The sequence below is a fragment of the Homo sapiens genome, chromosome 6, assembly GCF_000001405.40.
Source record: "Homo sapiens chromosome 6, GRCh38.p14 Primary Assembly".
Classification (NCBI taxonomy): Eukaryota; Metazoa; Chordata; class Mammalia; order Primates; family Hominidae; genus Homo; species Homo sapiens.
The window spans coordinates 37,481,616-37,503,088 of NC_000006.12; the positions used below are offsets into that span (position 1 = coordinate 37,481,616).

General features: G+C 51.5%; 1 protein-coding gene across 1 annotated transcript, besides 3 other annotated features; it reads right to left on the minus strand.

Annotated features, from left to right (window-relative positions):
• Positions 1–1,322: 1,322 nt before the first annotated feature.
• Positions 1,323–18,278, minus strand: CCDC167 (coiled-coil domain containing 167). The gene is made up of 4 exons (NM_138493.3): positions 18,207–18,278; positions 3,485–3,579; positions 3,195–3,247; positions 1,323–1,674 (listed from the first exon to the last, which is right to left on the minus strand). Exons 1-4 carry the CDS (start codon positions 18,246–18,248, stop codon positions 1,571–1,573), a joined length of 294 nt encoding a protein of 97 aa, NP_612502.1. The 5' UTR covers positions 18,249–18,278; the 3' UTR covers positions 1,323–1,570.
• Positions 7,508–8,353: an enhancer, noted in NCBI's record as "H3K27ac-H3K4me1 hESC enhancer chr6:37456899-37457744 (GRCh37/hg19 assembly coordinates)". NCBI's record gives its function as "activates a minimal SCP1, AML or CMV promoter by ChIP-STARR-seq in naive H9 embryonic stem cells {active_cell/tissue: H9 hESC(naive)}" and the evidence as "EXISTENCE:reporter gene assay evidence [ECO:0000049][PMID:30033119]".
• Positions 8,360–8,419: an enhancer, noted in NCBI's record as "active region_24459". NCBI's record gives its function as "activates an Ori minimal core promoter by ATAC-STARR-seq in GM12878 lymphoblastoid cells {active_cell/tissue: GM12878}" and the evidence as "EXISTENCE:reporter gene assay evidence [ECO:0000049][PMID:35858748]".
• Positions 18,271–18,470: an enhancer, noted in NCBI's record as "active region_24460". NCBI's record gives its function as "activates an Ori minimal core promoter by ATAC-STARR-seq in GM12878 lymphoblastoid cells {active_cell/tissue: GM12878}" and the evidence as "EXISTENCE:reporter gene assay evidence [ECO:0000049][PMID:35858748]".

Genomic DNA, 21,473 nt, shown 5'->3' on the forward strand with positions numbered 1-21,473 from the left:
TCTACTCAAAGCAGAGGAGAGAAAAGAGGGTTTGTTTAATCGGAGCCTGTTCAAGCTCTTGGGCACCTGCAGGGCTCCCAGGGCTGCTGCTTGCTGCTCAAGAGGGGGCTCAAAGAAGAGTTGGGGGAAATTGTGCAGCTCCTGTTACAAGCAGGGACTGCAGAATGAATGAACCCACAGCCCCGGAAGGGCAGAGAGGCACCTTCCCCCCTTACATAAATCACACAGCTCACTCCATGGTGGCACTGTGACAATCCAGGATCAGTCTGTGTGACTAAAATAACAGAGGCGTCAGACCAATTAGTGTCACTAGACTTGGGCGAAAGAGGGAGGGAGAGATAGATGGTTTCACTGACCCTAGCCTGCCTCCCCTCCAAGGAGGGCTGGTTCTGCCTGCACGGGACTGTGCTTGGGGGTGGGGGATGCAGATGCTGCAGGCACCTCCCTCTCTGTTCCCGGCTGGTTTCTCCACCAGTTAGTCATCGCCCTGGTGCTGGTTGCCCCCCAAAGTCCGCCTTCACTTTGCTGGACTTCCTCACTTTGGCCCCAAGAGTCCTTTGTGTATGGCCTTAGTTCCCTGGGCAACCCCATCCCTTGTTTTTCCTACTTAACTGGTTTCATCTCGGCCATCCACGCCCTTCCTCTGTTCTGCCTTGCTGTAGCCTCCCACCTGCTCCCCTCCTTATTCCAAAGCTAGGAGTTTTAGAGTTGGGGGGTGGAAGGGTAAGGGAGATGTCTGAGTTTGCTGCTCCTGCCACAACTCCCCCTCTGATCAGCCCCACCCCTACTTCTCACTACAAACCCTACCTGATTTACTGGCCACTGTCACCGTAAGTCTGTCTGGTCATTACCATGACTCTTCCTGCCCACTCACAGCCTCCCCAGCCTTGCCTGCCTGTCGAAGATGGATTAACTCCGCACTCCCCTGGGATCGCCACATGACCACTTCAAGTCCCCAAGCCGCCCTTCGCTGCACAGACTGCATTTTTTTCTGCCATAATTACAAGCAATGGCACTGACTGGAGGGCATGACAGTGTGTGGTGGGGGGATGGACAGGTGGCACAATGTCTGCTGCTCAACCCCAGCAGTGCCCGAGCCCTGGAAGTAACTCCCACTATTTGGCTTGGAAAGTGCTTCCCACTGTCTCCTTCCCACTCGAGCTGGGGGCCTTCTCCTCTATTCTGAATTGTAATCCAGAGCTTTCCCTTGAACATCTCTTCTTCCTTGATTCCTGAGTGCCGCCTCTGCTGCTGCTGCCTCTTCCTGCCCCCACCGTCCACCCTCCGCTAGTCAGACCATGACATTTACTCAGCAGACGGGAACAGCTTTGTGTTCTTTATTGCCTCTCCCTTGGGCTAAGGGAGGGACCAGCACCATGTCCTTCTGGAGACCCGGAACCCCCCAGCAGGCCAGGGAGGCAAGGCCTGGGCCGCCAGGAAGCCATGCTTGAACACTAGGTTGGGAGGGGAACACCCCAGCACCTTGGTCCTATTGAGGCTTGAAGTGCCTGCTTGATCCTGATCAAGGGGCCAAGTGGAAGCCTGTGCTGGTTGTGGGGAAGTGCCAGGCTCACATGGTCCAGTAGGCATAGACGAGCGTCAGGAGGATAAAGATGGCCACAGAGAGCAGCATGTTCTTCCGGTTCTCTTGCCGAAGAAACTTCAGTTCCTTCTCTGGGAGGAAAGAGGGTGATAGGGATAGGACAGGCAGTTTAGGCCCGTCTGTTCTGCTCTGCCTCTCCAACGAGTGGGTACACACTGCTGAGGGCAAAGACGCACCCTTCCAGCCACCTCCTTACCCATAAAAATGACTCTGCCCTTCTTAATCTGCCCAAATCCTGACACCCTTTTGGCTATAGAGCCAGCCTGATAAAGTCCCAACGCCCAGTGCTGCTCAACTATGGCTCTTTAAATGTGGTTGAGGTTGAGGGTGAGGTGGGTGAGGAGTCACCAAAAATGCCACACCTGAAAGCCAAGCTAGGAGGTGGTGTGACCGCCAGGTGAGTCTGCTTGCCTGTCATGGGGTTGGCTGTGGTGCTCATCCTTCAAGGCATCTCATCCGCCAACCAGAAACTGAGGGCACCTGGGGCCTCCTTGGGCCTGACAGTGGAGGAGGTGCTAGGTGGGGCCACGTGTTTCCTGAGTCCCTGCCCTCTGCCGGGTGCCTGGTTGAGCAGAATCTAGGGACGCTAAGATGCAGTTTGTGTCCATGAGGCAGCTGGTCTTGACTCTAGAGGAAATCAGTCCTGCTGCTCTATGGCCACACTTGTATCAAAGTATCCCCTCCAGGTGACACGCAGGTAGGGGGTACTCTGTGAGGGCTAAATTGAGTGGTGGTGTGGTTTTGTGTGAAAACCGCTAAACTTGAAGGGAAACTAATGTCCCATCCCTGTCTGTGCTGGGCAGTGGGAAGAGACACCTGCAGAGCTGCTCTGGGCAGGCCAGACTGAGTCCAGGGCCCAGGGTGCACCGGCCCAGACATGCTGAACTCCAGGCAGGGCTGGTAGGTGTGCACTGTGCCTACGGCATTCATCAGACCAGCGCTTCTGGGGGACTCCTTGCCATTAGAACCTTCCTGGGGCTGATTCATGGCCAGGCCTGGTCCCCCAGGGGAGAACAGAACCGACAAGTCTGAGGAGCACCTATAGACCGTGGTCCTCCCCAGCCTTTAGCAGGGAGCCCACCAGCCTGCCAGCCGCCCTCTGGCGCCCCGCCGGGCCTGGCCTCTACCTGCCTCTGCCCCCAGCGCCCAGAAGGTGGCGGCATCGCTCCACCCACAGGAGCCCTTGCCGTACCCAAGTGGGAGGTTCGGCTTCCTTCACCCCTCACTTCCCACTGCATGGTTTTCCTGGGAGGGTGTGGTGGGTTGGGGTGGGGTGGGCTGGGGCGTGGGGAGAGCAGACTTCCGATGTCTAGGTGAATGATTGTCTCCTAGACCTGGCCACGGCCACATCCCTTCATCCCAAAGAGCAGACAGACCCACAGGCGGTCTCATCCTCCCTTAGAACAAAGCAACAAACCTGCTCTCCCGCAGGCTGCTGGACCTAGCAGGGGTGTCTGCAGCCTCTGGGGGCTGGTTCCCTCCCAAAGAACCCCCTTGCTCCCTGCTGCCTTGTCAGGCCCCTTGGGCTTCTGACCCTTCCTGGTTCTGGGGACTGGAGGCTGGGGCTGGTAACTGAAAGGAACTTTCTTACCGTAGTTGGAGGCTTTGTTCATTAGGCTGTTTTTCTCCTTCTCCAGGGACCTCCTGTGAGGGGAAAGGAGCTTCATGGACCAAACCCTTTTCCTTTTCCCCACCCGAGGGGCAGCTGGCATGCCAGTTGGCAGGGCTTGGGTCTTGTTCGGCGGCAGGGGGGGTGTGCACTGAAGCTAAGATGTCAGGGACCCAAACCCTCTGCCTCAGGCCTACTTTGGGGGACCCAGGATAGATACAGGGGGTGGGGGCCTGATGGGGAAGGGTGGGGTGGCTGGGCAGGAGCATTACCTGGCCTCTGGGCTCAGCTCCCGGCTGTGGAGTCTGGAGTTCACGGCCTCCAGGTCTCTCCGACACTGGGACAGCTTCTCCTCTAGCCCATCGATCTGAAACAAAGGCCACAGAGAGGTGGGCTGCCGAGGCTTCTAGCTCTCAAAACACTGGGACTGGGAAGCAGGGCCTCCGGGAGTCTTCTTGGACAGGTGTTCCCCCCATTCGTTTTGGCAGGGCAGGGCACCCAGGCCTGTCTTCCCTGGAGTGTCTTTGTTTTGCTGTCCTCTGCCTCCACGTGGTTCAGCTCTGAACTGCACAGGACAGTGGCCTGAGCCACACTGTAAACAGTAGTGGGTGTTGCCCAGGGTCTCACAGCTGTCCCAGCCCTCTGGGCCAAGCACAGGTTGGGGGTGGAGAGGAGCAGCCCCTTGGTCTGTTGTCTCCCCAGCACGATGCCCCAGTTGGGCGCACAACAGGAGCAACCAGAACCCTGAACACGGCATGCACCTGCCCCACGGGCGTATCCTAGAGTGGCGGAGATGCTGTGAAGAAACTGGCTTCCAAACACTCCACACGTGTGGGGCCGGGTGATTAGACATCTAGGGGCAACACAGAGGTGTTTTTCTCATTGACATACTTCATCTTAATAACTTAGTAGTCCAAGTTGTAAAAATATACATTTTTCTGTGAGAATCAAAAATTACTGAGAAAAATGCTCAAAAACACCTTTCTTCCTCTCTGACTTGGTTCTTAAGCAAAAACTTTACCTACCATCAAGGTAGCAAAATAGTTAAGGTATCTGTTTTTTCCATTTGTTTGATTAGAGTTTCAGAGAAGTGTTCTTGGGGAAATACTTGAGTTGTGGAGAAATGTTTAATAACATACTGGACTGGGTTGTCCAAACCTGGGTTTTGGCATTGAAAGTCCATCTCCCTGTGTCTGACTCAGTCTCCAGGTGTTTAGCTGGCCACCTCTCTGGCTGGGGCGAGCCTGGGTGTCAGTGGGTGGAAGGGTTCAGGGGGCTCTGTGACCCTCCCAGCAGCTGACTGAATAGTACCTCGGAGCCCCATAATGCTCCATTTCCCATCTCTGACTTCACTCATTCTCACCACTTCCCTAGGAGACATGGCAAATAAGACCTCCATTTCACGAATGGAAGAATGGGGGTCCCCCAAATGGAATGACTTTCTGAGAAGTCAGGGTGGGGCACCCCTCTCCTTATCAGTCTCAGCCAGTTCTCTGCCCCATTCGCTTCTGGAGTTAGCCCCTGCAGGGTTAGTAATCAATGACTGCAGGTAAGATCCCTGCCTCCCACAATGGCTGGTTAGAGGGTAGCAGGCATTCTGGGGCTGAGTGTCAGGAGAGTTGCATTCCAAGTCTCTGGGCCTTCTGTCTCTCTCCACGGCCAACACCCATCTCAGCCACTTCCATGTCAGCCACTTTTCCTTCTTCCCGAGGGAGGCCTGGCAATGACACACCATCCACCCCCTGCCCTGCAGCCCCACCATGGCCACCTCCAGCCCCATAAGCAGGGCCCTGTGGGAGAGAGCGACCACAGAGCCTTGAGTTAATTGCCTGGTTAATTGTGTCGTTTCTCTGCTACTGGGCACCCAAAAGGAGGGCTGTCCTGGGAAACAGACCCAGCCAGGAGATGGGGCTGTCCCTGGGGAGGCCAAAGGCCTACCTAGAACCTGTGCAGCATGGAAATGAACACTGGGAAGCCAGATTCAGGGAAGAGCGGCAGCCCCATGCCCAGTGCCTCAGGCCACCATGTGGCCTCCCCTTTACAGCAGCACCCCCAGCACACAGCCCAGCCCCTCAGTACCCTGAGACTCAGATTCCACTCAAGAGCACAAATAAAGCTTAATTCTTGATGCCCTACCTCCTCCACCAGGCTTCCCTGCTGCCCTTGGCTGTGGCAGGGGGGTGGGGGTTGGGGGGCAGGGGACGGGGTGCATTCCACCCTCCTTCTCCTGGGAAATTAACCAGTCCTTCCTTCATGAGGCTGAGTATATTCTTTGTTGCCCTTCTGTTTGTGTCCAAACTTTATCTTCCCAAACTCTAGGGGTCTCTAAATGGTGCCAACTGGCAGCCCGTAGGTCAGGTCTAGCCCACAGATTGGCCCATTCCACTTATATATGTGAACTGCCTGGTCCCGGCAGAGGCCCGAGTCTAAAGCTCCTGTCCTAGAAGGAACAGTGACCATCTGTCTCCTCTTTGTGCCCACCAAGGCCTAGCCTGCTGCAGTCTTTGTATTTTTAGCCACAATGAGTGGAGTTGAGCTTGGGTGGGACTGAGGGGCAAGGACAGACGGTTTAGGTCTCACGTAGCAACTGGAGCCTGAAACCTCCGTTCTTCTTGTCCATAGAAGCTAGAAAAAGCTAGGAGGAGGAGAAGCAACTAGACATGCACATAAATTGTACGCTTTGCAGATTGCCCAGTGCAAGTCTTAGTCCTAGGTGAGATTTCTCCTTAACAGTCCTTGAGCCAGGCCTTGGTTTGCGTGTCATTCTGGGGAGGGAGCAGATTGCGGAATTCCATCCCTGAACACCTCTGGAAGGCTACCAAGTGCCCAAACAAGTGGTAATTGCCCCCAGAGCAAGGCCAGGAACTCATGCTAAGCAAAATCTTAAAATTTTGAGGTTGGCAAACCACAAGTGGCCAAGCCAATCTGCTATCATGCTCTGGGCAGAGCCTGCGGAGCTGGCAGTCGGGGGCCTTTATCTGAACAAGCCCAATTTATCTGCAGTTCCACTGAATATTCCCACTTTCATTTGCCACTTTTTAATGAGGCTTAAACGGTCGAACACAAATCAAGGTTTTAGGGACTCAAGTTCTAACCTCCCTCTATGAATATTTATGTCCTGCTGACAGCTCTCGCTGATTCCCTTCTAAATAGCAAGTTCCCCTTCTTTATAACCCAGCTGCTTGATGTGGGCTGAGTGAGGGGAGGCTAAGACTGTCAAGAGGCTCTTCAGAGGCCACAAACCCATCCTCAGAAGGTGACCCTGCGGGGTCCCCAGCACTGGGCCTGGTTCGGGAAGCTGACAATCAAACACCCTGCAGCATTTGCTGAAGCAGGAGCCAGCTGTCAACATGAGTGGAGAGACTCCAGGGGACCTGGCTGCAGAGGCAGGGAGGGAAGGTAGGTCCAGATGCCTCTTTTAGTTGTGGCTGGGGTCAGGAGTGGTGGCTACAGAGCAGAGCTGACACAGCAGGATGGGCCTGAAAGGTGGGAGAGGACCCAGAAAGTGGGTCTTAAAGGAAGTCCCGACTTGGATTTTCAGCCAGCTCTCAACTACATGCACACGGATTATGCACTTTGCAGACGACCCGAGGCAAATGTGCAGTCGTTGGTTAGCTCTCTCCTTGCCACCACCAGGCTAAAGGCAACGGAAGACAAGACAGCCAGGACCAGGAGAGAAGATGTGGGGATTAGGACCAGATAAGGAGACAAATGTCAAGAAGATTCTAGAAGTGTAAGGGCCAGAACTGGGCAAGCAGTTGGGAGCTCAAGTGCCCAGAAGCCTGGAATGGTGGTTCCAGGTAAGTGAGTGGTAAGGAGCATGGGCTATAATCAGTGCCCCTGGCTCTGTCACTCACTTGTGGTATGACTGGGCAACTCCCTTAGTTCTGTGCTCAGTTGACTCACGTGTAAAACAAAGATAACCACATTTCATATTTCAAAGAGTTTTGTGAGGATGACATGGAGCCAACAGGTAAGATGCCCAGAACATGCTTTACATGGTCAGAGTTCAGTAAGTGTTTGCTATCTTTATTATCAGAGAGTGGTTTGCACTAGATCTTTGGAGAATAAAAGAAAACCTGGTTAGTCCATGGCAAGAGTAAGAGAAGGTGATAGAAGCAGGGGTGTGGCTGGGCATGGTGGCTCACGCCTGTAATTCCAGCACCTTGGGAGACCAAGGTGGGCGGATCACGAGGTCAGGAGATCCAGACCATCCTGGCCAACATGGTGAAACTCTGTCTCTACTAAAAATACAAAAATTAGCCAGGCGTGGTGGCGCACGCCTGTAGTCCCAGCTACTCAGGAGGCTGAGGCAGAAGAATTGCTTGAACCCAGGGGGTGGAGGCTGCAGTGAGCCGAGATGGCACCACTGCACTCCAGCCTGGGTGACAGAGCGAGACTCTATCTCAAAAACAAACAAACAAACAAAAAAAAACAGCAGGGGTGTGAGGTGGAGAGGAATCTCCATGAGTTGCTGACTGGCAGTGCAGGGAGGAGGGCCCCTCTACCTTGGATGTGGCCATTCCCAGTCCATGAAGAGGTTCAGCAGGGAGGGCCCCCAGGGTAGATGTCAGAACAACAACAGGCCACAGGCCAGCTCGCTCCGCTTACTCCAGACATGGCATGGTGGGAACCTTGCGATCCTTCCCTGGGACAAAGCTGGGGTGGGCCTCTGGAGCCAGGGCCAGGTTGCAGACATGGCACCTGGTAGAATCCTAGCGTGAGAGGCCTGGAGCCATGTCCAAGGTGGAACAGCCTGGGGGCGGTCTGGGCATCAGTGGGCATCTGAGGAAATGTGGAACAGCAGGTGAGGCCCAGCAGCCAGAGCCAGGGCTCACTCACACCATGGTTCTAGGCAGCCTGAAGAGGCCCCGTGGAAGGGATCCCACCAAGCCCAGTAGGAAGGGAAAGTTATACTCTGAAGGCCACAGGGGCTCCCAGGACTCCTGCCCGACAGGCTGCATAGTAGGGCCAGCTGGCAGGAAGAGGCATGCCTGGCTCAGGGGCCAGGACTTGCCTGGAGCTATCAGGGGGCAGCACTTACGGCTGTGACTGTGACCGGCAAAGTAGAGACAGCCAAGGCAGAGACCTAGACGGCACAGTGTGGGGGCAGAGAGCAGGTGCCCCCTGCTGTACAATAACATTAAGAACCACCCGTGCATTATATTTACACTCAGAAAACCAAGGTCAATTTTTACATGGGGAAAAAGCACTGTGTCCCAGTCACTGAGATGAGTCAGCAGGGGGCACAGGGCTGCGATCTGCAGGGGCTTTGGGGACCCCAGGAAGTAAGAGAGGCGATGGTATGAACCCACTGTCAGCCAGCACACTGCTTCCTGGCATCTGGCCCAGCCTGAGCCCTGGGGAGGCGCTGTGTGAAGCCCTGTGTGAGCGGTCCAGGGGCCCAAGGAACAGGTTGGAGAGTGTGAAGGGTGTCCTGGGGAAAGTCTGTTCTTTACCCAGAGACCAGCAGTGGCTAAAAACTGCCTGGGGGGATGGCTGGGGAGTCTGCCTAGGCAGGGGAGACACAGAGCACAAAGGAAGAGGGGAGGAGGAAGGAAAAAGAGGCATATGAGGCAGGGAATGGAGAAGGAGCATCCCTCAGGTAGACAGGTGGGAAAGGCCCCAGGGGAGGCCTTAGGGAGTGGGACCCAACAAGTCCGTTCTTTTAACAGAAAAGCCCCGTAGTGATGCTGCCTAAATTACTGAGAACTGCTGCTTCTCAGTATCAGAGCCTGGGGCAGGGAATTGAGGCCTGCTGGGTGAAGGAGTGAGCTCAGCGAGGAGACCCATGAGACCAAAGGCCCTCCACAGAGGGGGTGTTCTGTGCAGAAGAATGAGAAGATCTAAAGTCAGCCCAGCAGTCAAGGCTGCAGAGGCTGTGTTGTAGGCCTGAGGGGTGCTGGGGACAAGGCCCTAGCCAAGTAGGGCCGTCAATCCTGCTGGCAGGTGCCAAGAGCAGAAAGGGCTTCTTCATGCCCAGCGGCAGGGGCAGGGACTCTTCCTGCAGCCTCCCTGAGAGCCCATCAGACAGATGCAGCTCCAAGCACCCGGGCCTGGAGTTCAGCAGCCCCCAGGCAGATAAGCAAACTCCCCTCTGCAGCCTGACTTGGGGAATATCACCTTATTCTGGGAGCTTTAAGGAAGTCTCCCTGGGGTCCTATATGCCATAAAACCACTGTGTTAAGAGAAACTGTAAAATTCGTGTGAAATCCCCGCGAGGCATCTTTTCAGGAGTGTAGGCCCTCTCAGAATCAGAGCCCCACGGAGGCCTCACTGGGGGCAGGGAATTTCGTGCCAGCTCATGCACAGATAACTGCCCCAGCATCCTGGCCAGGTCAGCTGATGGGGTGCCAGCTCCACGGCTAGCTGCTGTTGGGGGCCTCATATGCAGCTTTTCTGCCAACAAGCACGAGACAGTTCGAGCCACAGGCTACCGTTCACTCTATTCTCCTACTGAATGGTGTTCCCACAGAGCATCTAGACAGCCGGGGAGGTGGCTCTCTGCCCACTCCCTAATGAACCACTGTCTAGGGCCAGACCTGTTTCTGGGAAAGGGCAGAAGGCACCCCCGGGGCCTGGTGCTGGGCTACACAGGCCACTCTGCTTTCTGATTTAGGAAGCTGTTTGCTGTCTCTCCGGCTTTACTCTTGGGAGCTTCTGGCCAGCGAGTGACAGGTTTGCTACAGGGTCAGGCAGTGGTAATGGGGCATACACTGCACCTGGCTGGACAGGTCCTTACTGGGCACTCAGACCTTCCAATAAAGAGCGTGGTGCCAGGGTAGCTGAGCCGAGCCAAGTCACAGAGTCTCCAGTGTCTGCATGACAGCATGAGTGTAAGCAGCCTCTGGAAACCAAAAGTCCCAGCAAAATGGAACCACAACAGTGACAGCAGCAGCAACACTTCTGTAGTCTGTGCTGTGTGCCAGGCACTGACCTACATGCTTTACACCGATTAACTCACATAATGCTCGCAAGAACCCTGTGAGGTGGGCAGTATTATCAGCATCCACATTTGACAGATGAGGGGACTCAGACATAGGTAACTGTCCAGGGTCACACAGGCATTAAGTCCGGGAGCTGGGCAGCCACGTCTGTGCCCTTAACCACCATGCCACATGGAGAAGGCAGCGCTCATCAGCTCTGAGGGACTCCTAGCTCCTGGGCACAACCTCCACACCTTACCCCTGGAGCTGGGCAGGTTGTGGGCAGCTTCCTGTGTCTGCAACCGCCCTGCAAGGAAGGGCCCATCTCCATCTTACAGAGGTGCAAGCTCCCTTGCAGAGGTTTTCAGCACCTTGCCCAAGGTCGTGTAACTGGGAAGGGGCAGAATTGAAGCCTGAATCTGGGTTTTTCTGCTTCAGGGCTTATGCTCTTTCCACCACTTCAAGCTCTTTCTCCAAAATCCCTCATGAAAACATTCATGACAAGAGTTCTGCAGAACAGTCATTCCACATCCCAGCTGAAGCCCATCTAAGCTTGCTGATCTGGCTTCAACAGATTCTCTACTCGGAATAATCTTGTACAAGGCTCTGCTCAGTTTCTGTCTACATAACAGATACTCTCTGTGAGGGAAAGCCCTCATTGAAATTTGTTTGTTGAGACAGAGGAGACAGGAGCCCAGCGTCTGCCCTTACACTGGGCCAACTCAATGAGCTTCACAAACATCCCAGGCATTTTGCCCCAGATCACCTCGACTGTCAAAGCATCCTCCAAAATTCACACAAAACAGATCCAGTTTGGAGACGGAAAAAGGTGGGCTACTTGGGCCTGATAAACCCTTCTTTCCCCAGCAGTACCGAAGCCTTCCCTTTCACTTGCTAATTCACAGCCTGGAGAGTGGTGTCAGCTGTTTCATCTCCAGCCCCAGCAGCCTGGGAACTGGATTTTTGAAAATTCACTCATTTTCACACGTCAGGAGACCCCAGGACATTTATTATAATGGGTAAAGCAGCCAAGTGCCTGCCCAGATGGTCTCTGGCAAGAGTGCAGGGGCTTTCCATTTGGAGCCTTCAGGCTCCACAGCAAGTCACACGGGGTTCTTAGGCCTCAATTTTCCAGGTGACAAGCCTCAAACCCCAAGGGGCCCATTATCCCCACATCGTTTAAGGGATGTTTTTCTGTGGAGGCGGCTCACAGAGCTCTGTGGGGGCAGAAAAACCTCCGCCCATGGCTCCCCACATCAACAGGCCCTGTAAGGATTTCTCTCGCAGGTTGTGCAGCTGAAGACGGCAGACCTTCCCAGTTTTTAATCAATGAACAATTTTCAGGAAGAGCAGGGAGAGCCTAGGGGCTTGTCGCTCGCCTGGACACACCCCCATGCCAGGTCAGAAAGGCGAGGGAACCGCTGCAGCCCACGCGAGTCCCGACGCCTTCCCGCGAGGAGACGGAGGCCGAGCCAGCCTTGCAAGTTAGCGCCCGAGCCAGTCCGCGCCCGAAGATGCCAGCTGTCCCTGGGCCGGAAGGTGGTGTGGGGTTTGTTTTGTCTTCTTTCCCCCCGATATCTATTTTTTGATAAACTAGCAAAAGCTTGTTCATCGCTGAAAGGCTCAAAGCACTTTTCAAGAACTGGCATCCACCCCGAGCCTTATGAATTCATTAATTAAGATGCTGGCAGACAGCCACTCCACACACGCCGCCATCCAGCCGCGCTAGGTAATGAGGTTTTAGTCTCCTGACCCCCGTCAAGTGGCGCAGAGCCAGATGTAGGCTGCCGCGAGAAATCACCTGCCCAATGGCGACCTGTCGCTCTCGCCTGGCAGCAGGTGAGGCTCATTTAATGGTCAGCGGCCCCTGAACAGTCCTCTGCGTGCTGCGAGCCTTTCTCCCAGCCCCTGGCTTGGGGTTCAGGGTCCCAGCAAGGTGGCGTCTAACCGCCTGCTCTACTGTGACCTCCACTCAACTGGGCCCAGACGTCAGGGTGGAAGGTTCAATGCCTCCTCCTGCCAATCGAGCCAGTTCAGCAAATATTTATTGACAGTCCACTCACCTGCTCCTAGCCCTTGTCTCAGGAAAGTGGGAGGTTCCCCTGAGCCCTGTGCACAGCCTGCTCCAGAGCGGAGACCGTCTTCAGCCACACTTGGTGCTTCTGCCTGCCCTGCCCCACGGAGGCTACTGCAGTGGCTGGCACCATACAAATAACCACAAGCGTCAAGCCTTCCGGTGCTCTTCCTGGCCTAGGCCATTCTCTCCCCTCAGCCTACCACTTCTCATGGTCAGTGATCCTGCCTTTTTTTTTTTTTTTTTTTTTTTTTTGAGACGAAGTTTCCCTCTTGTTGCCCAGGCTAGAGTGCGATGGCACCATCTCGGCTCACCGCAACCTCCACCTCCCAGGTTCAAGCGATTCTCCTGCCTCAGCCTCCCGAGTAGCTGGGATTACAGGCATGTACCCCCATGCCTGGCTAATTTTGTATTTTTAGTAGATGGGGTTTCTCCACGTTGGTCAGGCTGGTCTCGAACTCGTGACCTCAGGTGATCCGCCCGCCTGGGCCTCCCAAAGTGTTGGGATTACAGGCGTGAGCCACCGCACCCAGCCGATCCTGCCCTCTTTTTCTGGTAAGGATTCCAGTGAATTTTCAATGACTCCCATTAGCATTTATTCCTTACAGCAGATACTGTCAACTGGCCAACACAACACCGACTCCCCACCCCTGCTCCTTTGCCCACCTCTACTCCAGAAGGTGGAAAAGCTCAGCAGATGCTCTCCCAACCTCACTGCAGCTAGGCTTGCTCATGACCCAGTTCTGGCCAATGAGACGTTCCAGAAGTCAGCTAGGAGACTCCTGGGGAAGCTTATGCTTTGTTGATAAAAGGGACAGTGTTGTTCCTTCCTCCTCCTTCCTGAGTTAAAGTTGAATATTAGACTGGAGCTGTGGCAGCTATATTGTGACCATGAGGAAACAGTGAAGAGAATGCAGAAATACCAACTCTGACATAGCTAAGCTTTTGAACCAATGCCAGTAGCCACCTACCTACAAATTTTTTTTTTTTTTTTGAGACGGGGTCTCTGTTGCCCAGACTGGAGTGCAGTGGCACGATCTTGGCTCACTGCAACCTCCACCTCCTGGGTTCAAGCAATTCTCCTGCCTCAGCCTCCCGAGTAGCTGGGATTACAGGCGTGTACCACCACTCCTGGCTAATTTTTGTATTTTTAGTAGAGATGGTGTTTCACCATGTTGGTCAGGCTGGTCTCGAACTCCTGACCTCAAATGATGCACCTGCCTCAGCCTCCCAAAATACTGGGATTACAGGCGTGAGCCACTGCACCTGGCCCCTACAAATTTCTATAAGGGGAAAAGTCTACTCCCATTTGCTTAAATCATTGAGGTCAGTTTTCTATAACTTGTAGCCAAAAGCTTTCCAAACTGATAAACTTTCTGTACTAGGGGTCAGATCCAACCAAGTTATCCACTTTAGGATACCGGCTAAGACACCACACATCTGTTAACTCAAGACCAACTGGTCACTGAAACATCTAAAGACACCAGTTTGAACAGTCCAGCTACAAAAGAAAAGTGCAATGACAAAGGAACAGCTCATTACCATCAGAGATCCGAAAACACAAACAGGTTTTACATCAGTCAAAATTCTCCTATCAGTTTAGACTGAAATTCAACCTTTCCTTCCTCCCACACAACATTAAAATCAGTACTGGGTGGGTGATTTCTCATTTGAACTATAATTTTCTTTTCTTATTAAGAATGAAATCTCAGAAGCTAAAACTCACAGTTTTTTCCAACTCTGAGATCTCATATGGTGGCAAATGAATTGGATAAAAAGACCTCAAAAGGAACCACTTTGAGGGGGAGGCTAGAGGGTGCCCTGGTTGTCCTAAGAGGTGGCTGCTTATACAGCTGGCCCAAGCCAGCCCTAAGGGTGAGTGCTGCCTGCTTGGTAATTGCTTCATTACAAGTGGAGACTGTTTGCAGGTGCTGAGATCACTCACTTGTGGGGGTTTTATTGCACTCGTCAGATTAACAAACATTTTTGATTAAATCACCACTTCATTGGCTCTGAGCACACAACTTTTAATAAGAGGACAATATCTACTGCTACTGAGCATCAGTGCACATTCAATACTCAGACCCGCTGGGGGCAACTGAGAAGCAAGGTGGGGAGACAGCCAGCCAGATGTCAGGCTTTTTCCAAGGCACACGGTTACAGATGTCAAATCTTCGAATATCCAAGCAAAAAGTAAACTTAGGGACCAAGATAGCAAATATAAACATCTACCGTGGTATGGAGAGGGTAAAACAATGGAATCTGCCCCAGTATAAGGCACTTGGAGAATACATGCCCCACCAAGTTTAAAAACGTAAAAATCCGGCCGAGTGTGGTGGCTCACGCCTGTAATCCCAGCACTTTGGGAGGCCGAGGCGGGCGGATCACTTGAGGTCAGGAGTTCAAGACCAGCTGGCCAACATGGTGAAACCCCGTCTCTACTAAAAATACAAAACTTAGCTGGGCATGGTGGTGCACGCCTGTAGTCTCAGCTTCTCGGGAGGCTAAGGCACGAGAATTGCTTGAACCCGGGAGGCTGGAGGCTGCAGTGAGCTGAGATCATGCCGCTGCACTACAGCCTGGGCAACAGAGCAAGACCCTGTCTAAAAATAAAATAAAATAAAATAAAAACTTAAAAGTCTGTCAGCCAAACAGAAGACATCTGTGATCTGTATTTGGGCCATAGTCAAGGAGTTTGTAACCCCTGGTGAAATTCAAGTCCTTCATGTTATAGATGAGTGAACGAATGCCCAAGAACGAGTTTGACTTAGCCATGGTGGAAGGATGCAAAAGAAATACAAAGGCTGGAGCTACCATGTATTGATTACCAATCCGGTGCCAGGCACGTGCTGGGCACTTAACGCAATGTCTCATTTAATCCTCACAACCACACTGTGAGGTGAGGTGCCATCTGTAGTGAGACTACAGGCTGTCTGTGAAAACACACTGGTCTCTTCCTCCATAGTAAGCAAACAGTAGCTGGCTATGTGGCCTCCTGACTGGTGAACGCATTTCCCTGATCCCTTGCAGTCAGGTGGGGTTTTAGTTCTTGCCAATGGAAAGTGGACAGTTTGGGCCCAGGACAGTGGGTGTGCTTCCTCCATTCTCCTCTTTCTCTGCCGGTGGACACATCAGTGGGGTATGCCCCGGTTCCACTGATAAGGTGACAAGATCTCAAGAGATGGTGAAGCCACAGAGGAAGGGAATCTGGCAGAACCACCATAGACCTGGTACTCTAGACCAGGAGTTGGCAACTAAGCCCTGTGGCCAAATGGTCTAAGGACTGTTCTTGCAGATAAAGCTTTAGTGGAACACTGACACACCCACTTATTTACATATTCCTTCATTTACATACTCCTACCTTAGCCTGAATACAGTTGGTTCTTGTTGTTCCTGGTAGCTATGTCCTATAAAGTTGCCTCTAATATTGAATTAGCAAATACCAAACCAGGTGAGGTTCCTGCAAGCCTATGGACACAACATTTTTGCAACCTTGTTTCATGTGTGATTCTGTTTAAAGTGACCTTATTCAATATATATTGTTGATTCATTAACACTGGACTCACAACCAACAGCACTATACGTGCTGTTACATCATGAGTTATATCATGCCTGAACAGTTTATCTAAAAAACCTGTTTTCTTCTACAACACATCACAGCCTTCTTGGATTTAGGAATGCCAGACAGCACTTCAGCCCTATGCTTGGGGTCGGGGGTCGGGGATCGGGGGCACTTTAAACAGCAAAATCAGGCAGTGGCTCACACCTCTAATCCCAGCACTTTGGGAGGCCGAGGTGGGCAGATCACCTAAGGTCAGGAGTTCGAGACCAGCCTGGCCGACATGGCAAGACCCCCGTCTTTACCAAAAATACAAAAATTAGCCGGATGTGGTGGTGGTCTAATCCTGGCTACTAGAGAGGCTGTGTCGGGGGAAGGTGGGGGTGAACACTTGAATGGGAGGTGGAGGTTGCAGAGCCAAGAGTGCACCACTACACTCCAGCCTGGGCGAGAGTGAGATTCTGTCTCAAAAGCAAAACACAGCGAAATACCAATAAAAAACATGAGAATGAAAAAAACAAAACAAAACAAAAACAGGGCACTAAATAGAACACAATAAGGACCCTTGTTTACAGTAGGACAGCTGAAACAAGGCAGGGCATCATCACCTGTTCAACTTTAGCTGAGAACATGGACTGCGAGCGACTCAATTTTTTTCCCACTGCTTTGCATTTGCCACAAAAGCACTGTGAGTACTGATTTTGGGGTTACAAATACATTTTAGCCATTAGGGAAATTCGCAAATGTGGAATCTGTGAATAATGAGGATCAACTGTAGTTGCAACCCAGACCATTTGGCTCTCTAGAAGAGACCATGTCTCTTCTAAAATAGTTACTATCTGACCATTTGCAGACATCTCCTGCCCCTTGCTCTAGCCTGTTAGAAAAAAACTCACTTTCTTGTTCTTGAAGCCACTGAGTTTTGGAGTTTCTCTGTTACTGCAGCTTATTGTACCCTAATGCAGGTTACAAAGTCTATGTTCTTCCCGCCACAAAGTACCATCTCAGTCACCACTCATAAACCATCCTCTTCACATTTCCATCAACCTTTTTCCTACCAAGTGGGCCAATATTTCTCAAGGGATGCCACTAAAACTACCCACATCACCATGGGGTGTGTGTGGCTTGTAAAAAAAAAAAAAATGCAGATTCTGGCCGGCTGTGGTGGCTCATGCCTGTAATCCCAGCACTTTGGGAGGCTAAGGCGGGCGGGCAGATCACTTGAGGTCAAGAGTTCAAGACCAGCCTGGCCAACACGGTGAAACCCCGTCTCTACAAAAATACAAAAATTAGCCAGGCATGGTGGCACGTGCCTGTAATCCCAGCTACTCGGGAGGCTGAGGCACGAGAATCGCTTGAACCCAGAAGGCAGAGTTTACAGTGAGCCGAGATCACGCCACTGCACTTCAGCCTGGACAACAGAGCGAGACTCTGTCTTAAAAAAAAAAAAGCAGATTCCTTGTTAAGAATGCACATCAAAGTCCTACTGAATTACTCGGGGTGTGGGAAGAGTTCAACTCTCCATTTTTAACAAGCCCTGTGACTCTATGCATGCTAAAGTTTGAGAATCACTGAACTCACTAGTAAGCCTGAAGAAGACTATGACCCTGTACCTCTCCTGCAACCTCCGGGAGGATGCCCTAAGGGAAGGAAAACAGGGGAAGCAAGATGAATTTCCAGGAAGACCACCTGTGCTTGATTCCCAGGCTCCACCACTTCCACCATCTCAGCCTGGGTTCCACCTGGAACCTCAATTTCCTCATCTGTACAAACCTCACAGGCTTGCAGTGAGGATTAACAATGCAATGAAAGTAGCACATAGCGGTTGCTCAGTATGTATGTTTTCTTTCCCTTCTATATGCAGCAAATTATTTTTAAGCCATTCAGTGACATCACCAATTCCAGAATTCTCTTTACATATTCCCAAAGTAATTTTGAAGGTACAAGCTTCCATACTCCGGAGGAAAAATTTCCCCTTTTAGAGGATATTTAAACCATTAATAATATACACCAGAATGGGCTCCCTCATCTTTGAGTCCTAGCCCTTTGGGAGTTCTCCTTAGATTCTACAGGTCCCTATTTCTCTGGGGTCTCCCTCACCTCTGTACCCATCCCTTTTGTTCTGTGTCCCCCGCTTTGAGTTCCCTCACTTCTATGCCAGGCCGTCTTTGGGGCTCCCCTTCACTTCCATGTCTCTTCCTCTCTGGAGATGCCCTCTCCAGAGAGTCTGGTTCGCCCATCCGGCACCTCCTCGGGCTCCCTGTCCTCCGGGAACCCCGTGGGCCTTCTCACCCCTCCCGTCCCTCTCCCCAAACCGCGTCGCCCTCTCATCCTACGCTTGGCTCCTCCTCCTATCTATAGCCCAGCCTATCCCTTATCCCGCGGCCAGGAGAAGGCAACTAACGAGGTGGCCCAACCCCCACTTTTCCCCTCACCTCTAGAGCGACGCCCAGATTCTCCCGCTTCTTTTTAGTCATGTTACTTGCCGGGATCCCCCAGTCATCACTGGACGCGCCCACCAAGTCGCTATGTGCGCATGCTCAAGTCTTCGTGCTTCTCCCTCATTGGCCACCGAGTCAGCGGGAGGTGGGGCTGCTGCCGTCGCCATCTTGTTGAGGGGCGCGGCCGGCTTGGTGCGGACATGTTTATGAGGGGCAACCTCTAGCTTGAGACCTCAGCCTAGATGGGTGGAGGGTGGAAAAGTCGGTACAGGGAGGCAGAATGTACAGCCCGGGAGTAGACCTGCCCCTTTCTTCCCCAGTTTTAAGCCGCTTTGCATCACTGAGAGCCTTTTTTAACCCCATGTTCTCTTTCAGTGTGTTTTGTGTTTCAGCAACAACCCCGTCCCTGTTTAGGCCACGCCCCCCATTCAAAGTCTGTCCATCCTTCAAGGCCGGTGCTGGAGCCTTGAGCTTCTCGGCCAATGGAATCTGATAATGGCCCTCTATTGTTATTTCTCCTTTGTGTCTTGACTTCTTTTTTTTTTTTTTTTTGGTTTGTTTTATTGTAAGAACAACCTACAAACATCACAGAAAACATATAACTGAGAAGCAGCATCCTTTATTCTACCAACTTTATCAGTTCCTCTTTGCTTCTGTTTATTCCTCCCAGGCTTGGCCTCACACACAGTATTTTACATTGTTGTAATCGTACTATACTGTACACCATAGACCCACGGCCTTTGAAATGTTTTGACTGTGACCCTACGATAAAAAAATGTATTTTATACCATGGCCCAGTTACCCATGAAACCAAAACCAAAGTTTCACAGTAAGTACCTTTACCTCCTGTAATGCACTCTGTTATTTTGTATTCTTGCCTATTTAATTAAAAAAAAACAAAGTCGGGCACGGTGGCTCAGGCCTGTAATCCTGTGTCTGGAGTTGGTTCCTTCAGGTGGGTTCTTGGTCTCACTGACTTCACGGTGAGTGTTACAGCTCTTAAAGGTAGCACGGACCCAGAGAGTGAGCAGCAGCAGGATTTATTGTGAAGAGCAAAAGAACAAAGCTCCCACATCATGGAAGGGGACCTGAGTGGGTTGCCACTGTTGACTGGGGGATGGCCAGCTTTTATTCCCTTATTTGTCCCCTGTTACAGAGCACTGACTGGTCCATTTTACAGAGTGCTGATTGGTGCATTTACAGTCCTTTAGCTAGACACAGAGTGCTGATTGGTGCATTTTTACAGAGTGCAGATTGGTGCATTTACAATCCTTTAGCTAGACACAGAGCGCTGATTGGTGCGTTTTTACAGAGCACTGACTGGTGCATTTACAATCCCTAGGTAGACACAGAGTGCTTATTGGTGCATTATAATCCTTTAGCTAGACACAGAGCGCTGATTGGTGGGTTTTTACAGAGTGCTGATTGGCGCATTTACAATCCTTTAGCTAGACACAGAACGCTGATTGGTGCGTTTACAATTGTCTAGCTAGACAGAAAAGTTCTCCAAGTCCCCACTCAACCCAGGAAGTCCAGCTGGCTTTACCTCTCAATCCCAGCACTTTGGGAGGCTGGGCAGATCACGAGGTCAGTAATTTGAGACCAGCCTGGCCAACGTGGTGAAAGCCCGTCTCTACTAAAAATACAAAAATTAGCTGGGCGTGGTGGTGGGCGCCTGTAAACCCAACTACTCGGGAGGCTGAAGCAGGAGAAACACTTGAAACTGGAAGGCGGAGGTTGCAGTGAGCCGAGATCGTGCCACTGCACTCCAGCATGGGTGAAAGAGCGAAACTCCATCTCAAAAAAATAAACAAAAACAAGTTGGTGGCAGGACACCTCTTAGGTTTATTTCATGACCCCTTAATGGAGGTTGAACTGCAATTTGAAAAACACTGCCAAGTATGTTTTTCTGTGTCTTTGAAATTATCACTTGCGGTGGCCTCATGTGCCACCAAGGGAGTCTCTCGCATTCTTGCATTGGACATCATTTTATTGACAGTAACTCCAAATATTGCGAAAGCAAACCTTTTCGTGCACACAGCTCTGTCCTCTGGATTCTTTCTTTAAGATAAATTCACAGAAGTAGAATTACTAGGTCAAAGAGTATGAGACCAGAATCAAAGCTCCTTATTTCCTGACCAGTTATCTCTGTTGGTGCCTGTGTTTTTGTATGTGAATAATAACCCCAACTCAGTGTTAGGGGGAAAAATGTTTTCAGATCTGTGTTCTCTTCTTGATAGAGACATTGAGTGATGGAGCTGGAAGGCGTCTGAGATACCATCTCGCCTGGCTGCCTGACTGAGGCCCACAGAGAGAGAGTGTAGTAAATTCTATCTGAACAGGAAGCAGGTTGTTGAGCAGTTGTTTAGTGCAGTTCTCAGCTTAACACCCAGCACAGGAAAAACTGATTCAAGAACATTGTCCATCAACTGTCAATCAACATTTATTGTCAGAACACTCTTCACAGCATTGGTTCCAATCCCGGAAAAACCAGACTCTGTGCTTCCCAATTATCACAGGCACCGGCCCAGGAGAGGTGAGAAGAGGAAGAAAAACACTGTGTTCTTTGAGAAGTGACTCCTTCTGCATTTGTTTGGCACCAAGAAAAAGCCACAGAGATCTGGGTGCGCCTCATGTCGGTCCCTTGTCCATGAAATGATGGGCAATCTGTTGTCTGTCTTCCTGAAGAGCCTCGTGTTTTCCCAACCAAACCTTGTCCCACAGGTCTGATAATGGGAAGAAATGCTTGAAGTGGGGTTGGAATGAGAGTCTATGTGGGTTGTAGTGAAAGGGGAGGCTTTTAGAGGGAGATCAACCTGGATGCCAATCCCAGCTCTGCTTCTTAGCAGCCTGTGATGTGAGGCAAGATACTTCAGCCCCGTAAGCTTCAGCTTCCACATCTATAAAACAAGCACATCATACCAAACTCATAGGGCATTTGTGAGAAGTACTAAGTGGCGGGTGCTGTGGCTTGTGAGTGCCTAGGAGAGGCTCAGCAGGACTGATGAGGCTGCTGCCAGCTTGTCGTTATAGGGTTTTGTTTAGCAATTGTTGCCATGGGTATTTTTTGTTATTATTTTGTTTTCAGTTTCTATCAGCTTTGACACTATTGTATCTGTTGTTATAAATTTGGGGCAAATACTTGGGTGGTTTCCTGCTATCATGGGTGCATAGTTCACTGCAAAAAGGCAGCCCCTTGCAAACACAAGCGTTTCTCTGTAAACAGGAGATGCCCTCTCCACCTGTCTATGTGTCCTTCCT